Consider the following 25,112-nt stretch of genomic DNA (forward strand, 5'->3'; position numbering starts at 1 on the left):
CCTGGTTTCCAGTAGCTACATCAGGTTTGGCACAGGGCAGTCCCTCGGTAAGTGTGGGATGGATGGCTGAATAAATGGATGGCTGGAGCAGATTTTATTTCTCCTAAGCTTTAGAGTGGCGAAGAGAACTGTAGGGAACGCTGATGGCACAGCTTGGAAAAGGTGTGCAGTGCGGGGCAAGCTTCCCACCAAATCCCTCTCCTCCTGCAGGAACGCAGAATCTTCTTGGGGAAATTCTGTGTCTCTTCAGAGACATTTGGCTAAGTTCAGTCAATGCACCAGCAGTGAAAAAGCTGGTGTCTGGTAGTGCACACCCTCAATTTGGAAATATGATTTTAGAAATGTGAAATTGTGAACAAAGGAGGGGCATCTTAGAGCTGAGAAAGTGCACTGTTTACGGAGTGCTCACAACGCACCAGGCACCTCGGACACTTTCCTGATAGCCTTCACTTCACTCCTCAGTTTGCAGGGAAGAGACTGAGGAATGTTTTGGTTCACTGTCTTGCATAAGCCACACAGCTAATAAGGGCTCCTCCTGAGATTTGCACCTGGGTCTCTCAGGCTTTGGAACCCTACCCTTTTCACTGATTTTCACTGAGAATGTGTAGCTGCCTGTGACTGGGAGAGGGGTTCTCACAGGTTCATAGCTATCTGTATGCACAGGGTACAGTCTAATCTAAATATGAATAAGTTCACAATTGCTGCATTCTTGAATCATTTGACAGCTAAATGATTGACTCATTCAGGGGAAATTTCATTGCTAAAAAGTAGTATCAGTGGTATATACCCAAAAGAATTGAAAGTAAAGTCTCGGAGATAGATTTGCACACTCATGTTCATGGCAGCGTTATTCACAATGGCAAAGGGAGGAATCCACCAACTGTCCACCAACAGATGAATGGATAAACAAGACGTAGTGTATACATGCAGTGGAATATTATTCAGCTGCGAAAAAGAAGGAAATTCTGACCTATGCTATGAAATAGATGAAACTTGAGAGGATATTGTGCTAAGTGAAGTAAGCCAGACACAAAAAGACAAATACTGCATGATGCCACTTACATGATGTGCCTGGAATAGTCAAATTCAGACAGAAAATAGAATGGTGGTTGCCTGGGGCTGGGGGCAGTAAGGAATGGAAGTTATTTAATGGGTACAGAGTTTCAGTTTTGCAAGATGAAAAGAGTTCTGTGGGTGGATGGGGCTAATAATAGCACAACAATGTGCTCAGTGCCACTGCACTTAACACTTACAAATGGTTAAGATGGTAAATTTTATGTTATGTGTGTTTTACCACACACACAACAGAATAAATTCCAGCTGTGTGGGAGAAGTTTGATATCTTATGATGGGAAGGATTTGAACTTGGCTTTAAGGAACTTAGGCTTTTCCAAACTTTACCAGTTAATTGGCGGTGAGTGCGAGTCAGCTGTGGTTCTACTGGGTACCCTAAGTACGGTCAGTACTTCAGCAACTCGTGGGTTCTGGGACAACTTGAGTTGATAATCTCCCTCCCTGCCTTCCTTCATGTTTATCAAATGCCTACTGTGTACCATTCACCCTGCTAGACACTGGACATGAAAACACGTATTCTGTGCGCAAACATACTCATATTTTCTCCCATTTTTTCCTTCTTTCTTTCTTCCTTCCTTTCTTTCTTTCTTTTCCCTCCCTCCCTCCCTCCCTCCCTCCCTCCCTCTCTCTCTCTCTCTCTCTCTCTCTTTCTTTCTTTCTTTCTTTCTACAGAGCCTTGCTCTGTCACCCAGGCTGGAGTGCAGTGGCACAATCTTGGCTCACTGCAAGCTCCACCTCCCAGGTTCCCAACATTCTCCTGCCTCAGCCTCCCAAGTAGCTGGGACTACAGGCACTCGCCACCACGCCCGGCTAATTTTTTGTATTTTTAGTAGAGACAGGGTTTCACCATGTTAGCCAGGATGGTCTCAATCTCCTGACCTCGTGATCCACCCGCCTCGGCCTCCCAAAGTGCTGGGATTACAGGTGTGAGCCACCGCGCCTGGCCCATTTTTATTATTTCTATTGGTATATACACACTCTCTGTTTTGCTTGATATTGGTTCATGTCCCATTTATTTTCTGTGATGATTTATTTCAGTAGAATGAAAGGATTGCTTCTGCTTTAACCTCTGATGCTTTATCAAGGCCGAGCTGAGGGCTGCACTATCGGGAGCTTGGTAAGCTTGGGTGGCTGGCCCTGGCGTGGGGAGCGGGGTTGCTGAGAAGTGCAAGTGGGAAGGGCCCCAGAGAGTCACTGTGCCCACAGTCAACTGAGTGTTTTCACATTTTTCCCAGTCTGGCATCGTGGGAATTTGCCTGGCCTGCTTTATGGAGAGTCTGACTTGGATTCTGAGGGCTTGGAAAGATAGTCGAAAGATTATTCCCTTCCCTGAAATAGCCATGCATTTGTTTAAAGACTTGACACCGTTCTGATGCTGGAATTTCCCTCTGTGTTTATTTTCACATCTGGGTGATGGTCTTCTGCCATAGGAGGACTTTTAATGAATCACTTCGGAGATTGCTTTGAATGTTTCCCAGACAGGAGGGGGCTGGTGCTTGTCTTTTTTCTGAAGCCTTACAGGGCAGGACTGACTTGGCTTCTCGGCTGGCCGCCTGGCGCTGTCCCTGGGGGAAAGCAGACATTTCTCATCTTTCTGGGAAACCTGTGCCTGCGGAGTTTCTCATCTCAGGGCCCTCTTTCTACGTCAGCAGGGGAAAAAAGGTGGAATGGACTAGAAATACAAGAGATAGACTGGGTTTAACTGGTTCAAGATGTACTCGGTGGCGTTGCCTGGGGTAGCCACTGGTAGACACTTCCCTTCTGCTTCCATAGGCTCCCACCTGCCGTGTCCAGAACTCCAGGAGACAAAAACGGCTGGGGTCACCTTCCAAAGTGCAACTTGGGAAGTTATTGGCTACCAGGGGTCGTTTGATGGATGTTTGTCTCCAGGGCTTGCAGGACAGGCCGGGGTCTCTATGTCCCCGGAGGTCAATGTCCCTGCTCGCTCTCAGCCTGACAGGTCTTTTGCGGTCACCTCCCTGCTCTGTGTCCTTCTGTCTCCTGTCCCACCCATACTCCATGTTCCAGCCACGTCTCATGCACTGGGCATTTTCCAGTTACCTCCTCCCCAGAGCCTCACTCTATTCGTCTCTGCCCAGCTCTGCACCCCAGAAGTCTGACTGCAAGGGATGCTTGGCCGGGCTGCCCTGCCCCAACCTCTGGCTTGTGGTTGGGTTGGTCATTGGGGGAGGGGTCCCACAAGAGATCTGAGGAGGGAGGAGAGAGGTGGGGGGTATTTATTCCCTCAGCGGTGCCTTAGAAGTCTCAGATCCTTTCAAGGTGGCCCTCTCCACATAATTTTCTCTTTCTGTATTCAGATAACTGCTGCCTCCTTCCATCTTTTGCATCTAGGGGTCGTACGGCACCCCCCGCCCCCACAACTCCTGCACTGTCTCTTGTGGTTTCCCTGTAATGCACACACACCTTTGTTAATAGTCCATTTTCTAAACTCATCTTGAATTCTCTTGAGTATTCCAGCTGGAATTCAGACGATCTATACACAGTGTCATTTTACACACTGGTACATGTTCCCATGCTGTTTCTCCTTTTCTTTTCTTTTTTCTTTCTTTTTTATTTTTCTGAGATGGAATCTCCCTCTGTCACCCAGGCTGAAGTGCAGTGGCAGGATCTCGGTTCACTGCAACCTCCACTTCGCGAGTTCAAGTGATTCTCCTGCCTCAGCCTCCCAAGTAGATGGGATTACAGATGCCCACCACCATGCCTGGCTAATTTTTGTATTTTTAGTAGAGACTGGGTTTCACCATGTTGGCCAGGCTCTGGTCTCAAACTCCTGACCTCAAGTGATCTGCCCACCTCTGCCTCCCAAAGTGCTGGGATTACAGGCGGGAGCCACTGTGCACGGCCCCATGCTGTTTCTTCGACCCAGAATTCCCTTACGTTGGCTACCTGTTGGTCTGTTCCTTGTCCTTCAAAATCTGCGGAAATGTCACCTCTCTGAAGCCTGCCTTGAGTTCCTCATACGAGTTAATCACTCTCTCCTTGGCCATCTACCTCTCTGAATGGTGGCAGTCTTGTCCGTGTAGCATCCTCACGCTAACCCCGTGCTATCTAGGACATGTCCAAACTTTTCCTCATCAAAATTTTACAAAGTTTAATTTCTTTAAGGTCTGATTATGTGACTGTCTAAAGAAACTACTTAAATTCCTGGTTCAGAGTAGATGCTTCATAAAAAGATTAGACTACTCCATGCTAAAGTGTGGATGGGCTGTGTGGTTTAATACATTATTCCTCCCAGGGACACGCCACATTTATAAGGGAACTTTCAGAGTTAATATTCCACCCAATGAATCCTAAATTGGTAAGAAGTGAAGTGGGTCACTTCACGTCCTGCCAAGTCAAGGGGTCTTCTTCTGGGGCTCTTCAAACTGTACCAAGTCCAAGGCTTCCCTATCTGTAGGTTGGAGAAACAGAATCATGTCAGGTCAATCTCCAGCATGCAGAGGCTGCTTGGAAAAGTGAGCCAGGTTGCTCAATAGTGGCTTAGGGGAGCTGTGTCTGCGGAAAAAGATAGATGTGACTGGACACATCTCTGCTCAGCTAATATGTGCTTCCAGTACTATTGGAATGTGATTTTCTAAATTGTGACTGGCCGACTTTCTTCTCTTGTGGTTGAGTTTGCAATAACATAGACTATGACTCTAGTTTTGCCAAAGTGGAAAAAAATGCCATCCAATGGATTTTTATGGTGGTTCTTAAACATTTTTTAAAATGTTATTAAAGACGGAGCTCAGTGAGTCTTTCCTGTCCCACTTTGGGCTGATGAACCAAGGCACAGACTTACAAGGTTGGGCACGGGCAGCCAGGGATGCTACCTCAGGACGTGCCAACACCAGTTAAGTCGCCCTGTGTAATTTTGCCTAAAAATGGAGCTACCTACATAAGTACAAATCCAGAGTATTTTGACCATCCCTGGCTTAGGGCAGAGATCAAAACAAAGCATCTCAATCCTCATTAGGTTCAAGAATCCAGGGAGCCTGCTGTGTTCCAAGAAGCCCAGATACATCTTTCAAGGACTCCAGAGTCACAGCTCACATCTTAGGTGGTAGACAGAACCAAGTGAAACTACCTATTGCAAACTGCCCTCCTCCCTGCTCTGTGAAGAAGTGGGGACCCATCTGACATATAGTTTCACAGTCAAGATGCTTAGGGACATCTTTTCCAGCAGGGTCCTATGGACATCCATACAGTTGGCAAACTGGCAGGATTCTTGGGAAGAACCAAAAGTGATGTTTGTTGAGTGTCTTGGAGTAGTCAGGACAGATGGTTTCTTAGGGGGTTTCAGATCAGCAAAATAGGAAGCCTCAGGACTCTGAATTTCCTGCTCTTTCGTCCGGTTTCTCCTCTTATTAACATCGTGAATTCCCCTTTGCCTGGAAGCCGTCAGGTAGCCATTGTGAGGTCTCAAAACCTAGGAAGAGAAGTTCGTGAACTGGGCTGCAAACAGGGTTTGTCTTGGGATTAATTGCAACCTAAGTGGCCTCCTTTCTGCTGCCTACCTGAGTTCTTCCCGCCCTGCAGTGGGCTCTGGTCTCCCATGTAGTCATGTCCTTGTCACCCAGCATGGCTCTGGTTATACACACTTCCTCTGCTGTCTGAGTGGTCTCAGTTAGCACATAAATCCATTAAGGGCCTGGAGGGCAGCTTAGATGTTGCATGTCTTAGGAGATTGGGTACATGAGTGAATCATAGACCATGAGCTCTAAGACAGCTGAGCATTGTGCCTCCAGGGCTTGGCACTTAGTAGATGCTCAATAAATATTTGTCAACTGAATGATTCTGAACTGTCATCTGAAATGCTTTTAGTTGTTCATTTTACCTCTTCCACCCCAGTGCTTATTTTCCTGGCTTGGACCCAGTTTTGGGAGGCCACTTCCATTGGTCAAAAGTGATATGCTTGCATTGTGTCCCTGGCCTGGGATGCTGTTACGATGATTCTAGCTTTATGACCTGTGCGGTCTGACTCAGGACCCTTGCTTCGTGGTGTGGTGTGGAGCAGGGAAAGCTCTCTGGGGGGAGTGGCAGTTGAAATCCCCCTGGTTTCAAAAAATGGTCCAGAAATATGTTGAAGACATTTAAAAAATTTCTAGTCAAAACCTTTTGGGAAGAACAGCCAGATTTTGTAAAGAAAAAAAAAAAGGCAGTTTAATGGGCAAAGATGTTCTGAGCAATTCCAAGCTTTACTGACTCTCCAAGAGGCTGTTCAACAAGCATTTTCAGGAATCGTGAGCTCCAAGCTGACTTGCCATTGGAGCATCTTCAGTGGGTCACAGGGAGGCGCCTTGGTCATCTCACTGAGTGTTTGGACCTGACCAGAAAACCCTTGTTCCCCTTCCTTGCCTCCCTCCCACCCTTCCATGGCCCACCCCCTGCAGATTTCTACATCGGCAAAGTGACAGGTGACCATGATGGCAGAAAGGTTTGCTTTGGGACTGATGGTGAAGGGAAAATGATGGAGTGTGTGTAGCTTTGCCGGCTCCTCGTCTCCCCCAACCCGGAGGCTAGAATGCCTTCCCCGAACAGTAATGGCAGAGAACCAGAGAGCTGTTTGCCCACTTGGAAGTAGTGGGATGGGGTCAATGCCCTTTGCAGAAGCCTAGGAATGCAGCTCTTCTGGTGTTCTCCCTACCCCACTCCTGGGCATACCTGCTCTTGGCTTCCCACTGACTTCCTGTGCTTTAGGGCAGGTGCATTGGGTAGAGCAGAATCCACGGCAGAGATGGTGAAGTTGCTGCTCCTTAGTGATTATATTTTTAGAGCATTCTGTGACCAGAGGTAGGTCTCTAAACAGCTTTGTGCCTCAATTTTCCTATCTGTATGACACAATATGGCAGTGTTGTGATGCAGTCACTAGGAGACCGTGTTCAGAAAAGGGGTTTGTCCTTATCCAACCCCATTCCCCCAGCTCTTTAGTGGTGGCCTCTCACCTCTTATTATTACCCAAATTTATTTTACTGTCAGCTGATTGCCAGTTTCTCTGTCCCTTCTAGGTACATTGGTAATAATTTGAGGGGTGTTTTTTTTAAGGACACCCTAACCAGAAAAGAGGATTCTGGAAAGACAGAAGTCCTCAAGGTGCAAATGAATTCATCTCCAATGATAATATTTTGGGTGACATTTTTCCCCTCCTTTTTCAAAAGAGTGTCTTTTCTCAAACGCTTAAATTCCATCATGGTTGCAGAGGAGTCTCTATGTAGCTGAGATGGTTTAGTTTGCTTTTCCTGCTAAGGTTATAATATGACTATTGTTCTTGTCACTAAAATTATTCTGTAAGCATCAAGTTTTCTAAGAACTTAAAGATTTTCAAACAGTGGAGAAAGGTTGAAATAATTTTAATGCAAGCACTCCAATGTCTACCACCTAGATTCTACAGGCGTTCACATTTTAGTGTACTTAGCCTTATCTTATGACTTTCTGTCTAGCTCTGCTTCTAGCTATCCATCCTCTATAATTTTGGGGGTGTATTTCAGAGTAAGTTGCAGACATCAATACACACCCCCTAGCCAGTTTACTTTAGAATGGATATTGTAAACTAGAGTTCATTATTTTTTACAGTTATTTTCTTTTGAACATCAATAAAATGCACAAATCTTAGGTATCCTATTTATAGACATTGGTTTTTAAAAATTGCTGTGTCCATTTGAGTCCTGTATTCCCACACTTTCTTACTTAACAGTTAATTTGTTACTCAAGTAATAATTAATTCATCTACTCTGTCTTTTCCATTTGGAAGGGGAGGCTTAGCCTTCTTTATTCCTCAATAAGGAGAAGTAATTTCTGTCCTACCCAGATTCACATCCAGTCTGGTCTCTCAACATCCTGGCAATGAATGCAGACCCCTTCCCTGCTCCCTTCCAGCTCTAAACCTTGGTCCAGGAGGCTCAGAGCCACTTCCTGGTTCCATCTGATGCAGTCTGGCCTTGTCCTGTCAAACCCAGGACTGCTGACTCTCTTACCATGTAAGAGTTGAATAATCGTAGATATTAGCTACCACATTAGCAGGTGTGGTTCTTCTCAGTTTCTAAAGAGCTTGCCCTCATGTCGTTTCATTGAGACCGCACTACAGCAGGTAACTATTAGTAACACTATTATACTCATTTCTCAGATTGGGATACTGAGGCTTAGAGAGGGAGGTCATGCAGCTTGGGTCTGGATTGAGGCCTGAGTGGCTTCACACACGGAGTTCCTCCTGCGGCCCCACAGTGCTTTCACCTGAGCCTAATTTCCCAGGCTGTGACACAATGACTATGCATACTGCTAAAGGTGTGTCAGAGCCTAATTTCCCAGGCTGTGACACAATGGCTATGCATACCGCTAAAGGTGTGTCAGAGTAACATACTGCTAAAGGTGTGTCAGAGCCTAATTTTCCAGGCTGTGACCCAATGACTGTGCATACTGCTAAAGGTGTGTCAGAGTAACATACTGCTAAAGGTGTGTCAGAGCCTAATTTCCCAGGCTGTGACACAATGGCTATGCATACTGCTAAAGGTGTGGCAGAGTAACATACTGCTAAAGGTGTGGCAGAGCCTAATTTTCCAGGCTGTGACCCAATGACTGTGCATACCGCTAAAGGCGTGTCAGAGTAACTTTCTTGGAAGTTTGATTTGAGCATGGTGCTAAACTGGGCTGTGGGTTTGCAGGTGACTTAATTTGCTGTTCGTATGATAGAGAAACATATGGTCTGGTGGCTTTGCAGTCAGTAGACCTGGACTCTGCCATGTAGAAGCTGTGTGACCTCAAACGAGCCACTTATCAATATCAAAAACCAATACTTTTTTGGATGCTTAATATATGCTTAACAAGGTAGATTCATAATCTCATTTGACTACTCCTCCTAACATCCTATCATTGTTTTTAATTGCTTTATAGATGAGGAAACTGAGGCACAGAGAGATGAAGGAACTTGCCCAAGGTCACACAGCTGAGGAACCCAGGCACTCAGATTCTGGGGCCTGCTCTCATAACCACAATGCTACATCCCTGCCTCTAACATCGGGACAACCAGGCCTTCCTCACAGGCATTATCGGGACTATAAGATAAGATGCATAAGGTTTTATCTCCAGAGAGAAGGCAGCTATGGTCCAAGGTCAAACACAGAGGCTACAACTAGAAACCTCTAGACCAAGTTTGGTCCATGTGGTGTTCTCTATAGAGTTTCTTTCTTTTTAATTTGGATTTTCAATACTTTAAAATTAAGAGCACACACATAACAGTATCCTTTTTCAGCTTCCTTAAACCATATCTGAACATTTGGCCAAAGTAGATCCCTGCTGGGGCATGAAATAATCAGCTGATGCCGTTTCCCTCGGTCCTCACCATCCTCTCACGCCTTCCCCTCCTGAGGCTACCGTCAGAGGCCATTTCTCATCCTGCATGCACTGTAGCATTTCTGACACTAGGTACACTTCGCTCGCTATCTGCCTGGCCTCTGTGGGCATGAGGGTTTGTAGACAGAGCAAAACCAAGTAGTTTGTGGGGGTGCGTGCCTATCATTTCCAAAGGGAGCCACAGGTCGGTCATTTGCTATCTATGAGATTCAAAGCTCAGGGTCTTCTCAGAGAGTAAACTCACGAAGGTACGTAGGAATATCTTGCAGGCATTTCTTTCCAGCATGCCACAAACCAGTGGTCTCACAGGGCATGATGTTTTAGTGAGAGCTGGGGCTAAACATAATGTTTTCAGCTTTTTTTTCCTTGCATTTTTTTTTTCTCAGCTCTGGTCTTCTTCTTGGCATTTTTGACACATACCACACGCTGGCCCATCATTTCCTTCTGGTTACCCAGGTGTTCCAAAAGATCCCCCTCCAGTGATACACTCCGTTCTCCAGGGCTCAGATCTGAAAGTGTAGCTATGTTACCTGGGAGAGATGACATGAACACACCATTTTCCCAAGCAGGGCAACCATCAAGGTGAATATCAATTCAAACATTTAGAAATGTAAATTATAACAAGTTATTTTTATGAGTACCAGAAAAATATAACTAGCAGATCAAGTTTATGTTTTCAAGAAAACTACTGGCTAGGAGGAGGTTTTCAAAAAGAATTATTTAAAAGTCGATTTGAAGAAAAATAGTAAGTAAATACTACTACAGGTGAAAAGTCACAGCCAAAATACACGGGGTGATATGTAAATGACTGAAGTTTGCGGAAGACTGCACAGGGTCTCTGCTACCCTCTGAATCTTCTTTTGGCCAAGTCCAGGGGCAGGAGATGGGATACTCCTTTCTCTTCCTGTGCTTCATCTCCATCTCTCTTCCTTCCCCTGAGTCTAGGACACTTTGACCTGGATATATGGGAAGGGATGGAGAGAGTGGGAAGTTTTGCTATTCCTAATCATAGCTATTCCTTAGTCTATGGTGCTGTCTTTGCAAATAGGCCTTTTTAAATTTAAATATAATAATTTTTTAAATTATACTTTAAGTTCTGGGGTACATGTGCAGAACGTGCAGGTTTGTTACATAGGGATACACATGCCATGATGGTTTGCTGCACCCATCAAACCGTCATCTACATTAGGTATTTTTCCTAATGCTATCCCTCCCCTAGCCCCTCACCCCCCAATGGGCCCTGGTGTGTGATGTTCCCCTTCCTGTGTCCATGTGTTCTCATTGTTCAACTCCCACTTATGAGTGAGAACATGTGGTGTTTGGTTTTCTGTTCTTGTGTTAGTTTGCTGAGAATGATGGGGGCTATATGTACGGACAACAGTTGTTGGAAAGACCGTGAGGACCTATGTTGAATTGCGTAAATGAGCTCAGCCCAATTACTTCATCTCTTAAGCCTCAGTTTCCTCATCTGCATGACGGGGAATAAACATAATACTTGATTGAAGTGTTGTTGGAAGGAAGAAATGAGATACAGCATGCAGAGTGGCATGTATACATGGTAGGATGATGGTGATGGAAGGCCTGCAAGGGAGGCTCTTTCTTTAGGTATGGATGTTAAGTTAGGGAGAGAGAGAAGTTGTATCTTGAGGTTTTGTGTGAAGTTTTTGTCCATGAGAACATCTTGACAGAAGGCATAGTTTGTTGGCATATTAACAGCCATGCCCTGGGGCAGCCATTTTCTTATGCCTTTGTTTGGTCTGTGGGGACAGGGAACATTCTGTCCTGTCGGTCAGAAGGAAAGACTGTGGGAGGGGAGGGCAGCCCTGAGCACTTGGCTGCTTTCTAGATTGGGTAAAAACCAGCGAGGACTATCCACAGCCCATCATTTTCCCACCTAGCTCCCTTGCATGAATGCATAGTTAGAATTTTTAAGTCTCAGCCAAGGGTCCAGCTGGGGGAAGGGGAGCACACAAGCACATTACCCTGAATGGACACTGCTGGACTTCTCACCAAGATAGCACGAGCACCAAGGACAGAATGAGCAGAGAAAACTAGCTTGGTTTCTCCCAGAGAGAACTCCCCATTGAAAATGGATTCCTCTCCTTGGTGGGTTTTGATTTGGCTTGCAGTTATTTTCATTGACTTTTGTAATAACCACATTTTCTGGTTTCTATACTAGACACTTTGTCATGTTGAGATCTTGCAGACGCTGGAGGGCTTGGCCAATTCCTAAAGATACTAAAACACTGGACTGCAAATGTGCCTTTCATATGCAAACAAACCAATCCAGAGCCCACCACTTCCTTGGCATCACCACCGCCTTTATGTAGGCTTTTATGCTCTAGGCCACTGGACACCTGCCCCAATTATCCCAGGGCAGGACACCCACCCTCACAGCTCAGAGTCTGCTAAAATTGTTCAAACTAGCCCATTCTGAGCCTGCTTACCCTCTCTCACCCATACCTTCCCACAAAAAGCACAGTAAAGTTTCCCTCCGTTGAGACAAAATGAGACAATTATTGAAAATTGTTTCTGTGTCTGCGTGTTTTATCACACCTGATTAAAACAAATCCTAGGTAGTTGAGACTCTTTGGATAGTGAGCATTCCAGTTAGTAGGATCCAGATATGAACTTATTAAACTCGGCCCTGCAGTCTGCATGGAAACAGCATTATTTACACAGAGCTGGGGTTTTGTCTTTCTTGGGAATCAGATAGACCAGGTCTAAAGCCTGGCTCCAGTTGTTACCAGTGGGTTGACCTCAGATTCTTATTATTGATAGGAGGAAGAATACTTATGTCCTGTGGTTGTCATGAAACAATATCCTAGGACAGGTTTCCAAGAGATGGAAGTTCAGAGCATTTGTCTGTCAAAGGCCCATGGCCTGGAGGGAGTGGGAGGCTACAGCTCTGAGTACCTGCTTGCTGGTGGGTAGGATAGATTTCAAGGGCAAAAGGCTGAGTGCAATAAGGATAAGCCAATCTTGAAAGATCATATACTCTAGGATTTCATTTATATAACATTCACAAAATAACAAAATTATAGGGATGGAGGACAGATCAGTTGTTGCCACGGGTTGGGGATGGCAGTGAGCACGACCATAGAGGGTCAGTAACAGAGAGGTCTTTGTGGTGATGGAGCAGCTCTGTACCTTGACTGGGATGGTAGCTGCACAAATCTACATGTGATGAATGACATAGAACTATACGCATCTCTTGTATCAGTGTTGCATGGTTTTCAGTGATGATGAAATCAACCATCCCAATGGAGACCCACTCTCTGATCAGTGAAGAGCAGCTTTTACATATGTGTCAGGCGGTTTTGGATTCCTTTTCTTCTGGTTCCCTCATCCATCAGAACCTAAAGCAGGTGGCGGCGGGGGAGTGGTGGGGGGGTCCTCAGCCTGCTTCCTCAAATTCCAAAGAGGCAGGAAAACAAGTAAAGGGTAATCAAAGATATACCTTGTCCTCGAAGAAAGATGTTTGGGAAAGGAGGTGGCTTGGAGTTTTTGGCTGATTTCCAAGGAGTAGAAGTGGCAGTTTGGTGGCCATGAACGATGTCATAAAACATACAGCCCTTCGTTGTCCCAGCCAATGGCTGACTGTGGGGGTTTGTCACTAGGGAAGGAGTGACCACATTGTTGAGCGTTTGGTCGGTAGGGAGAGCCTTGGCTGCAACAAGTAGCAACTCAGCCCATGCTGGCTTCTGAGGCTGGGTTGAGACCTGCTTTTGTTCCAGAAAGGTGGGCTCAGGAAGTGCATGGACTTGCTACAAATTCAGCCTGGCCTGTAGATAGGTTTGTTTTTAATATTTGCTTTCAATTTTTTTTACTTGAAATAATTATAACTCCATAGGGAGTTGCAAAAATATTACAGAGAGGTTCCTCCTATCCTTCACCCAGTTTCTTCCAATGGTTACATCTTACATAATTATAGTATAATGTCAAAAACAAGCAGTTGACACTAATACAACAGATGTGTATAGTTCTATGTCATTCATCATATGTGTAGATTTGTGCAGCTACCACTCCAATCAAGGTACAGAGCTGTTCTATCACCACAAAGATCTCCCTGGTGCTACCCCTTCAGTGTCGTGCTCACCCCATCCCTGAGCTGTGGCAACGACTAATCTGTTCCCATCCCTATAATTTTGTTATTTCGTGAATGTTATATAAATGAAATCCTAAAGTATATGATCTTTCAAGATTGGCTTCTTATTTTACTCAGCCTTATTCCCTTGAAATCCATCCAAGTTACTGCATGTAACAAATTATTCATTCCTTTTTATGGTTGCATAGTATTCCAGGGTATGAATAGATGCAGTTTGTTTAACCATTCACCTATCAAGGGACATTTTGATTGTTTTCAGTTTTGGGGTCTTACAAATAAAGCTGCTGTAAGCTTTATGTACAAGTATTTTGCGTGGATGTAAATGTTCATTTTTCTGGGAGAAATGCCCAGGAGTGCAACTGATGAATTATTTGATGAGTAGATGTTTAGTTTCAAAAGAAACTGCTAAACTATTTTCCAGAGTGGTTGTACTGTTTTGCATTCCTATCAGCAGTGTATGTATTCAGTCCGTTCACATCCTCACCAGCACTTGGTGTTGCCACTATTTTAAAATTTTATCTGTTCTACTGGGAGTCTAGTGATATCTGACTGCAGTCTTAATTTGCCTTTTTCTGGTGGCTAGTGATGTTGAATACCTTTGCATGTGTTTATTTGCTATCTGTGTATCCTCATTGTGAAATTTGTCTTCGTGTTCTTCAGATGGAGGTTTGGAAATTTTTGGTTTGGTTAGCAATTCAGAAAGATGAACTTGAATTTGAATTTAATTTGAAAGGTCAACAAGTTAATATAGTAAACCCCAGTCTGAGAGTCTTAGTGTGGTTGTCAAAATGGCAAGCTGGTGCTGTCCTTTGTTATGAACAATCTGTAAGGGGAAGTGAGATGTTCAAAATAAACACCAATGAACATGGTATGTCAATTTAAGCATTTACTAGTTAATAAACATTACCAGCATAGTCTTAAAGTTAGTTAGTTCTTGTGGTTAGCAAAAGTTACAACAATACATGATTGCTACTGAAGACTTCCATGGACCAGGCCCGATTATGTATCATTGGTAATTTTAGTTCTCATCATAGCCCTTTAGGGAGGCTTTATGATCCTATCTTACAGACGACAAAACTGAGACTCAGAGGACAAGACGTGTTCACAGACACACAACTAGGAAGTTTTGAACCCAGACACATTTGATTTCAAAGCCTGTGTGCTTCCTTCTGTGTGCTTCCTTTTGGCCTCTGTTTTGGTCCCCATGACCCGATAAAGATGTTCGTTTACACTCTAGGCAACTTCCATTGCTCTGAGCACTGGGATTCTGTCCACATCTCAGACACTGTCATTGATCCTGGTGGGCACCCTTGTCTGTCAAACTATAAAAGAAGAAATACTCAACATTGGGTAATTTATAAAGAAAAGAGGTTTAATTGACTCACAGTTCTGCATGGCTGGGGAGGCCTCAGGAAACTTACAATCATGGCAGATGGCACCTTTTCACAGGGTGGCCGGAGAGAGAAAAGAGTGCCAGCAGGGGAAATGCCAGACGCTTCTAAAACCATCAGATCTTGTGAGAACTCACTCACTATCACAAGAACGGCATGGAGGAAACCACCCCCATGATTCAGTTACCTCCCACCAGGTCCCTCGCACAAAATGTGGGAATTATGGGAGCTTCTATTCAAGATGAGATTTGGATGGGGACATAGCCAAACCATACCACAAGCCAAGGTGATTTCATTTGAAACCTAGGTTTACTCTGATGGATACCCTGACTGGTCAATGGGCAGACAGGCCACCACCCCCTCCCCTCTGGTAAGTGACTGTATGTCATTGTTTGCACACTCCCTCTACCCCTGGTCTCCTTTGGAATAAAGCTCTTCTAATAAGGAACATGGGTTTTCATCTGACAATTTGCATCTATCAGGTCTCTGCAGGAAACAGGTGGCACACACAGAGGAGAGTTACATCAGAGTGCAGGGCAGGACAAAGGGGACCAGCAAGAAATGGAGAGGCACCTGGGGTCAGCCCTTGCAGGAAGCCCTGACCACTCCCAAACTGAATGGGAAAAGCGGGACAGGTGCTGTTGGACCCCAGAGACAGCTGGGGCATGGAAAGAGGCTCTGCTTTCCAGAAGCTGTGGGCAGACAGCCATGACCAGACCTGCAGTGGAGCAGGTGGGGAGTGGGACTGTGCCTCCTATTGGCCAAACCAAGCTGGGAACCACAGGGCAAGGGGCAGGTGACACAGGCTGTGAGAGGTTGGCCTGCCAGGGCACAGAGCAGGGCAGAGAGGGTGAAGAATGGGTAGGGGTGCCAGGGTGAGAGGTAGGCTGAGTAATGGCCTCTCAAATGTCCATGTCTTAATCCCCAGGACCCTACATGGCAAAAGGCTTGGCAGACGTGACAAAGTGAAGAGTCTTGAGATGGGGAGATGATCCTGCATTGTCTGGATGGGCTGGGTGTGGTCGTGACAGTTTTCATAAGAGGGCTGCAGGACTACAGTGAGTACGAGACGCGATGATGGAAGCGAGGAGTTGGAGTGATGGGAGGAAGTGGTCACGAGCTAAGGATTGTGGGCAGCCTCTAGAAGCAGAAAAAAGCAAGGAAATGGTTTCTCCCCTCAGTGGCTCCAGGAGGAATCTGCCCTGCGAATTCCTTAACTTTGGTCAGTGAAACTGATTTTTAAAAAATTTTAGATTCATGGGGTAGATGTGCAGGTTTGTTACAAGAGCATATTGTGTGATGCTGAGGTTTGGCTTCTGTCGCCCAGATAATTGAACAGAGTGCCCAGTAGAAAGTTTTTCAGCCCATCCCCTCCTCCCTCCCTCCCTCCCTCCCTCTCTCCCTCTCTCCCTTTCTACCTCCCTCCCTCTCTCCCTCCCTCTCTCCCTCCCTCCTTTTGGAGTCCCCAGTGTCTATTGCTCTCAACTTTACGTTTGTGTGTACCCAAGGTTTAGCTCCCACTTCTGAGTAAGAAAATGAGATATTGGTTTTCTATGAAAGAAACTGATTTTGGACTTCTGACCTCTAAAACTGTGAGAGGATACATTTCTAATTCTTTAAAGCCACTGACTTAATGGTAACTCATTACAGTGGCTGCAGGAATCTAATACACATGGTTTTCTTTCATTTGGTCATCACAACTTTAATGCATATCTTCCATGATGTGTCAGGGGGACTTTTTCGCATATGGTGCTTCCTGCAGGGGCAGCGGGAGATGCCACAGCCATTTGGTTCTAGCCAAGTCGGTGATTGGTGGAGTAACGTTGAGTGCCCTGCCCTTCACAGGCTCCAGCTGGCTTGGTCAGATCAGCAGGGCTCTGGGACCAAGCTGAGGGGCCAAGGTATCTTGGCTTCTGTGGAGTAGGGTGGCCATTGTGTAGCATCCTCCCTAGGAAGTCTGCTTGTGCTGAGGACAGGGGGTCCTGCTGGCCCATTGAGTCGTGGGACCTATATTAGATTTCTGTCATCATAAACTTAGCAGCTTAGAACAACATAGATTTATTCTCTTGCAGTGCTGGAGGTCACAAGTCCAAAATCAGTCAAGGTGTTGGCGTTCCAGAGGTTTTAGGGGAGAATCTGTTGCTTTTCTCTTTTCACCTTCTGGTGGCCACCTGCCTTCCTTGGCTTGGGGCCTCTTCCTCCATCTCCAAAGCTCATCACTGCAGCCTCTGCTTCTGTCACCCCATCGCCTTCTCTGACTCGACTCTTCCTGCCTCCCTTATGATGAGACAGAGCCACCTGGGTAATGCAGAATCATTTCCCCATCTCCAGATCCTTGACTTAGTCACATCACAGAGTCCCTTTCACCATATAACTAACATTCATAGGTCCTAAGAATTCGGATACGGGCATCTTTGGGAGCCATTATTCAGCCTAGCACATGCCCCGCTCAGAGCAGGAGGTTGCAAATGTCCTTTGAACTTTGGTAGACCCCTAGCCCACAGCTGTCCCTGGAAGGCCATGGGCAGTGCTCAGGGTCTGAGGCCAGCCTTCCTCTGTGTGCATGTGAACACTACTCAATTTGAGGGCCACTTGCAGCCACCATTTGGCTTTTCCTCAATGCATTTGCCCCCCCCCCGCTCCCCGCCCCCCGCAAAAGGGATCTTCAACAGCCTTTCCCAAAAAGAACATAGAAATGTGATCATGTACACATCTGTACACACATGAACAGATGTGATCACGAGATTTTGTAGAAATCACCCAGAGCTTGCTGTAGGACTCAGGGAGCTGGGTTTCAGCAACCTGTCTGAGAAGAATTCAAACACATCTGTGATGAAAGGCCTGATGAGTTTCCATGGTGCTCTTCCCAGCTTTCTTCCTGAGAGGGTTCCTAACTTCTCTGAAGTCAAGTTGAGCGTCCACATCTAAAGCCCCAGGTAAGTTCATGGTGACCAGGACTCCAGTTAGTGGTTACTTGTCTATCTCCACAAGGATATTTCCTACAACAACAGGAGTTTGGGTACCTCCAGAAGAAATGCTTGGGCCTCAGCAACGGTGCCACATTTAAAGGTTGATGGGGGTCACTGGAGGTAGGTGGGGTCTCCAAACACAGCTTAGGGAACACTGGGATGGGTAGTGAGAGAGAGTGAAGGGAGGGCTGCATTGTGAACCTGCATCTTTCTAAAGAGAGGAAGCCTTTGGAAGGCACCTGAGGACTGAAGACAGGGAACCCAAGCTATTTCTAAACTGCCATGATTGATTGTATTGTGTGCAGGCAGCCTTTGCTTATGAATGAGCTAGGAAATTTAGCTGAAAATGTTACAAGCCGGGCTAGGCGCAGCGGCTCACATCTGTAATCCCAGTGCTTTGGGAGGCTGAGGCAAACAGATTGCTTGAGCCCAAAAGTTCAAGACCAGCCTGGGCAACATGGTGAAACCCCATCTCTACAAATAATACAAAAATTACCTGGGTTGGATGGTTCACACCTGTAGTTTAAGCTACCCAGGAGGCTGAGGCAGGAGGATCACTTGAGCCCAGGAGGTTGAGGCTATAGTGAGCCACGATCACTCTACTGCACTCCAATCAGGGCTACAGAGTGAGACCCTGTCTCAAACAAGCAAGCAAACAAACAAACAAACAAACACACAAACAGGCAAACAAAAACAAAGACGAAAATGATAAAAGCATAACAGACTGGCTTATGCCATATCTTCATCCATTAGTGCTGCTATAACAAAATACTCCAGACTGGGTAATTTATAAAGAAGAGAATTTCATTTCTTACAGTTCTGGAGGCTGGGCAGTCCAAGATCAAGGCACTGGTACGGGTGTCTGGTAAGGGCTGCTCTCTGCTTCCTAGGTGGTGCCTTGTTGCCGCGTCCCCAGCCGGCAGAAGGAGGAAGGGCAGGAAGGACTTCAACTAGTTCCCTCCAGCCCTTTGAGAGGTCAGGAATCCATTCATGAGGGCTCTGCTCTCACGTCTTAATCACCTCCCAAAGTGCCTGAATGCCTTGTCTGTTAATACAACCCCAGAGGGATTACATTTCATAGAAATTTTGGAGGGGACACCTTCAAATCATAGCAAGCTGGAAAAAAAAAAAAAAAAAAAAAAAAAAAAGAAGCAGAGAGAGAGAAGGTTTTTTTTTTTTTTTTTTTTACACTCAAGTATCTTTATAGATTTACAGAATTCATAGATAGAGCCTGCCTCCTTCAGGCACAGCTGGATCTGGAGGCCCAGATGTATCATCAGGTTTGCATCTCTCCCTTCTGCCACATTCCCATTAGCACCCTGTTAACTCTGGCTTGCTCCCTATCACTAAGCAGCCTCAGTAGAAAGAATGATGTTTTTCCCAGTAATTTAACAGAAGTTGTTGGGCTAATTCTCACTGGCTTGGTTTGGGCCACGTGACCATCCCCAAACCAATTCCCAGGTGGCAGGGAGGATGTGGTGCTCTGATTGGCTGGGTCTGGGTCCCATGTCCATCCGTGTAGCCAAGACCTGGGGTCAGATATGGCTGAACCACAGGCCTGAAAAAGGAGGAAGATTGGCTTCCCAAGAGAAGTTGGGTGCTGTTAACAGAAGATGAGGTGCAGATGCTGGTGAGGCAGCAAATGCCCATGGGAACTTACAAAGTAGAAGAAAGGGCTTTATTAAAAGGCAACAATTATCTGTTAGATTGCTTGCTAGTAGAAGGAAGGGGCATATGTGTTGCTTTTACAAATCTTTCTAGAACATTTTTTCAGAATCCTTAGTCCTGCTCCTTAGTTATGGGAGGACATATTCCATGAGACTTTAAGACAACTGGGATTATTTATTTAGTAAACCCTACAAAGAGAACAAGACACTAATTCTTTTTTTAAAAAAGACATTTGCAAGGTTTTAGAGTTCAGAGAATGATCTTTCCCAAGTGCTCTTCAGTGGACAAAATGAATAAAAATTTATATACATTGCTTATCAATGTATACAAATTATACCCAGAAATTCCATTCATTAAACTGCTCTCAAATGAGAGACATGGGAAGGGAGGTCCTGATGCTCTTGGACACACAGGCTCTCCTGATGCTTTTAATAAGGGAGGCTTGTTCCAGCCAGTTGTTCTGGCTGTGGTCCAGTGAAGCTTGTTACATTCTATCATCTCCCAAATTCCTCTTCAATTTCCTGTGAACTTTTTCCTTTTTTTCCCCATTCCTTTTATCTTTTTTTGAAATTTTAAAAATTCCATTTTCAGCATGAATCTGCTTCCCGGCTATTTATAAGAGCTGTGTGCCACCAAGAGGTGACTGGTTTTTCAGAAAGAGACAGAAACATTTTGTTTTCTGTGCCCTTCCTGAACTTGAATGTGGAGTGAGATGTGACCAGACCCAAGGTTTCGCTCAGGTGCCACCGTGGCTAGAGGATGGCAGTAGCAGTTAGGACACATGGCAAGTAACAACAACAATAACAAACAAAAATAAAAAATAAAGCAAACCAATACAAACAAACAAACTCCTCAAACTGGCTAACATGTTACAGGAATGTATTGGCTCCTGTAATTCAAATGTCTAGAGACTGTAGGGCTTCAGGCACAGTTTGATCAGGCTTCAGCATTGCTTCTCTCCATGAAAGGAGAGATTTTCATCTGTTTTATTCACTAATGTAATTGAGGCACCTGGAAAAGTATCTGGAACAATAAATATTTTTTGGATGAACACAATTATCTCAACCTCTGCCTTTCTTTCTCTGTGAGTTGGTTTAGCCTCAGGCAGTACAGAGCAGTGGATGGTGGGATGATGTCTTCCCTCTCTCTCTCTCTCTTTCTCTTTCCTCCTTTGCTTTCTCTCCCCCCATAGTGCACCCACTTGCACTATTACCTAAATCTTCACAACTGCCCAAGGCCTCTAGCATTTTACAGAGAAGGAAACTGAGGCCAGGTCTCTGAAAGAATCTGCCTTTAGACAGTCCTTTCATTCTCCTGTGAAAGACCGTGGCAGATACATTTCCACTTTAATCTCTCAGCCCCTACCTTGGTTTACATTCCAAAGAAACAGCTGCCTCCCAGCCAGCTGGACAAGGAGCTGAAATTCATTCACTAGTCCTGCTGGACTCTCTGTTCTCAAATAGGCAACACAATTCTTTCTTATCATAACTGCTGTCAGTTTGTGAAAAGGGAACACGTGGCAGCTTGACCGCTCCACTGGGACAGCCGTGAACCACTGCCACCGCCACTGTGGGGAGAAGCACTGAGGTCACCCTAGGCCCCACTCAGGCTAGGTCTCTGGGGCTGATGGGCTCTTCTGACTACAGCTGCTTTGAATCTAAACTCTCCTCTGTGGAGCGTCCCCCAAAATCACACTGTTTTTTTAAAAAAATAACTAAATGTACCCTGATTGGGAGTTAACTGGATTTCCTGTTATTTAAATATTCAAATATTTAAATGTTAGTTAAATATTCAAACATTTAACACCTTTTCGTTCTCTGATTTGAGAATGTCTCATGTCCTTAGGATGAGCCTCCTGGTGGAGGAGAGTGCTCCTGCCTCTCCTGCCTCTCTTTATGGATTGTATGTCAAGGAGACACCCGCAAGGACTCTGGTGGCCTGGACATACTTCTGGAAGACTGACTCTTCCAGACTGATGAAACCAAAGGTGAGAAGGAGGCACGAACAGAATCCAACAAAAATTACACAGTTTGAGCTTCAGTCCAGACCCCAGGATCAAAGGCAGTGTGTAACAGACCCCGCGTAGTAGCCAGAACTTTTTAAACAGGACTGTGTTGCCAGGCTGAGAATCCACAGAGGCTGGCCAGAGATAACACAAGGAGAAACCAACAGTCTCTCCAGTTTTGGTGTGGAATTTGCAGTAGTAGCCTGGGCCAGGGTCCACAGCATTGCACGCATGCTCCACTAGGTCATTTTAGCACACTGCATTTTCTAACTCTTCGTGAACTCAAACTAAGAGAAGACATCATTAGCAACCTGATTTCCGAGTTGTTACTTCCTCTCAATCCCCTAAATCCCCCATGCAGGTAAAATGGGGAACTGTGTGATGGATAGCAGAGCGGGTAGGTGAATGTACATCTGTTGAACAACGCTTCTTGATGAATGGATGGAGACCGATCTGTGTGGAGGACTCTGGGTCGGGGGAGGGCTTTTCCTTATACAGCATTTTCATGAATGGTCTCAATAAAGATATGGAAGGCAGGCTTATCACATTTGCAGATGAAACAAAGCCAGGATAGAAAGGTGATGCTATAGACGATGGAAAGAAAATGCCAAAGGTCTTAGGCTCCAACCAAGTGTGACACCTAACAGAGATGAATGTCAAGTGTCACGTTTAGATCCATGACACAAATCTGTGAATTGATCCACATCGCTGGGGAAGGCCTGACTTTAACTTCCTTCCTGGTTTCCAACTCTTGGTGTCTTTTTGTTCTCCCACAAAGCTTCCTTCTTATCCATGGTTCCTTTCCGTGGATCCCTTTTCTCCCTAAAGTGATCCTGGAGCTGTATGGGAATGTTCCACGCTACCCCTGCTGTGTCCTCTTAGGACAATGCCTTCCAGCCCTCTGGGACCCACCTGGGGGACAGAGTGAGAACTGTGGTTCTCAGAGCCACAAATAGGACAAGCAACTCCATGGACAGAGGTCAGGCAAAGGCTTCATGGGTGCCCGGGAGGAGGCTGCGCCACCGAGCAGGAAGTGGCCACCACAGGTTGCAAGTGGCCGGCTGTGGGATGGGCCTTCGGGCTGCTGGAGACCCCGTTCTGCGTGGCTTCCCGCACCCGATGGCCCGTTCCCCAGTCTTGGAATGCTTGGATCATAAGGGCTCTGATCTTTTGTGAGCTCTGCCGTTTTTGTTTGTTTCAAGATCTTTATCACAGTTAAATAATTTTTTTAGGAGTTTATGTATGGGTAGTTTAAATGTTCTTGAATATGTTTTTTTTCATTTAAAATTTTTTAATCTCTCAATCCTAAATACACACACACACACACACACACACACACACACACACACGCAGACATACACATATGCAGCCTTCTGTGAATATTGGATATGGAACCAATTACTCTAGGTTGCAGTAATTACTTTTATATAACTAGAGTTGGGGACTTGTGAATCAATTCCATACCCATTAGCAATGTACGCGTGAGCCAAGATTTTTTTTTTCTTTCTTTTTTTAACAGGACTGGACAGTGTTGAATCCTTGGGGGGAAGAAAAACCAACACTTTTTTTTTAAGCTGACAGCACATTCCATCCACTCGGCAATGTAGAACTAATGAAGATATAAGTGTAAGAAAACCTATAATTGAATCCAGCACGTAGCAAGCATAGTTGAGCGGCGAGTACACCCAAGCTGAAATCACATGTGCTCCTGTCTAATCCTCTCCGGGCGCCCAGCACAGGGAAATATTTCTGGATTGTGTCTCAGGCTGTGATTTCTATCCAAGGCAGAATAGAAACGGCCTTTTCCCTGGGCAGAGGCTTTGGGCTGTCAGGGGACACCTGAGTTGCCTTTGATAAGGCTGCCGTTTGGATGGTGATTTAAAGAGCAAGTCTAGAAAAAAATAACCTTGAGAAAGAGGAGTGTTTTGGACTAGAGCCCTTCTTGCGCGCTTTCATTCCGCTTCCCTTGCCAGTGTTTCTCAGTTTCCCCCATGGTGGCTGGAGGTGCGTCTGTCCCCACAACCCAGAATTGGGGCAGTCCCTCAGGAGCTGCTTTTCGATCCCAGCCCTCTGGTGTCCAACATTCAGAGCAAGCCCGATCAACCCAGCCCACTAAGTTCCCTGCATCCGAGGACCCCTTTGATGCGTGGATCCGAGTGGGAGGGAGGCCAGAGTGCAACTGTGTTTTCCTTTCAACATTCCTCAGGAGTGATTCACTGCCAGGTGTCCCCAATACCCCCAGCTGCTCCGTCCCCTGCAGTTGTTCCGTAGGGATGAGGCTTTTTGATGCCCTGTCCTTGGCCCTGCCTGGCTTCCTGTCTGGGGCAGGAGAGAGCAGAATGGCCCCCAGAAACTCTGCTCTGGATGTAGGACTGCTTGCTCTGGAAGCTGTGGTGTGTGCCTCTGGCAGGCTGCTCTGACCAGCAAGCGGCAGCTGGATGCTTTGTGCACTGAACTAAGGCTGCGGTGGGTTGAATGTGCATACCTCTGCGTGGCTCCCACAGTACCCACCACTCCCTGTTGTTTCCTGCTCAGTGTAACGTTCTATTTCGTTATCTGGGTTCTCTGCTGGGCAGTGTTTGAGTTTAGACCCTGACCAGAGAGAGGGAGCAGGTGCTGTGCCATGTGGCCACTGTGGCGGATTTATGCAGGGGCACCCACTCCCCGGCTGCCCCTGCCTCCAGGCAGTTGAGCTGAGGGTGTTTGCTCAGCTGCCCTGGCGCCTAGCCTGTGGGGCCATGGCCTTCTGCTTCTAGGCCATGGAAGGTGGCATGGGCCCAGAGAATTGGGCAGGTGTGCTGCCAGGCCCAGTCCCCGGGGCCTTGGGGGCCTGGATTGGAAGCTGCAGGGAGGTCCCTGGGAGTCCTCTGAGCAGGCGGCCTGCGTTGGGACACCCTGGCCTTTTAGCTGTTGAGTCCTAGTTGGAAGGGGCATTCATTCCAGGGACATTCTTTCTGTCTGGAGCAGAGACTTGGCCTGAACCTTGAACCAAAAACCGGAACAAACTGCACTCGTTTGCTCAACCTCGAACCAAATCCAAATATTGTTTATATCGCTGAGAACCAAACCAGGGTTCTGGGGTTTGGTTTGGTTTGTTTTCCCACCAGAGAACATTTAGGGAACAAGGCTGAGCTGCAACAGGACTAGGAGGGAACCTGAAGAGGCCCTTTGTGTGGATTTTGGACTCAGCGAGCTCTCGGTCAGGGGAACACTGCAAGACACAGTTAGGTCTGCAGAGGTTGCACTAGGTGGACTGTAGGGCTGGAGAAGCTATGGGGCCAACGTCTGTCCTGAGGAGAGGACAGTCACAAGTCCACATCTCTGTAAACAGTGCTGTGTGGTGTGGGATGCCCCGTACATTGCTACCAGGCAGCAGTGATGACTAGGGGATGCCAACGGTGGGTACAGAACTGCATACATGGAGGGAACTTTAATGAAATCATGCACCGATTGATTTTTCTGAATTTATTTCCGGTTTACTCTAGGTCACTCAATAGCCATCTGCTTAGCACCTGGCGCCATACTGAGGCAGATCCCAAAGAAACAGCAAA

At 46.1% G+C, this 25,112-nt stretch overlaps 1 long non-coding RNA gene across 2 annotated transcripts in view, besides 2 other annotated features; it reads left to right on the forward strand.

The window, feature by feature from the left end:
- Positions 1-25,112, forward strand: part of LOC105377732 (uncharacterized) — a 139,446-nt gene that overhangs the window by 90,299 nt on the left and 24,035 nt on the right. For both annotated transcript variants that reach the window (XR_001743001.1, XR_007059057.1), the window contains 7 exons: positions 2,113-2,191; positions 8,962-10,002; positions 15,227-15,289; positions 15,402-15,651; positions 15,848-15,977; positions 17,790-17,855; positions 21,402-21,543. This is a non-coding gene — a long non-coding RNA (uncharacterized LOC105377732). The remainder of the gene's footprint in view (positions 1-2,112; positions 2,192-8,961; positions 10,003-15,226; positions 15,290-15,401; positions 15,652-15,847; positions 15,978-17,789; positions 17,856-21,401; positions 21,544-25,112) is intronic.
- Positions 17,910-18,073: a silencer, noted in NCBI's record as "fragment chr5:172920199-172920362 (GRCh37/hg19 assembly coordinates)". NCBI's record gives its function as "represses an EF-1alpha promoter that drives an FKBP-Casp9 reporter gene in an ReSE screen in HepG2 liver carcinoma cells {active_cell/tissue: HepG2}" and the evidence as "EXISTENCE:reporter gene assay evidence [ECO:0000049][PMID:32094911]".
- Positions 23,415-24,081: an enhancer, noted in NCBI's record as "H3K27ac-H3K4me1 hESC enhancer chr5:172925704-172926370 (GRCh37/hg19 assembly coordinates)". NCBI's record gives its function as "activates a minimal SCP1, AML or CMV promoter by ChIP-STARR-seq in naive H9 embryonic stem cells {active_cell/tissue: H9 hESC(naive)}" and the evidence as "EXISTENCE:reporter gene assay evidence [ECO:0000049][PMID:30033119]".

Source organism: Homo sapiens, chromosome 5 (genome assembly GCF_000001405.40).
Source record: "Homo sapiens chromosome 5, GRCh38.p14 Primary Assembly".
In the NCBI taxonomy this organism is placed as follows: domain Eukaryota; kingdom Metazoa; phylum Chordata; class Mammalia; order Primates; family Hominidae; genus Homo; species Homo sapiens.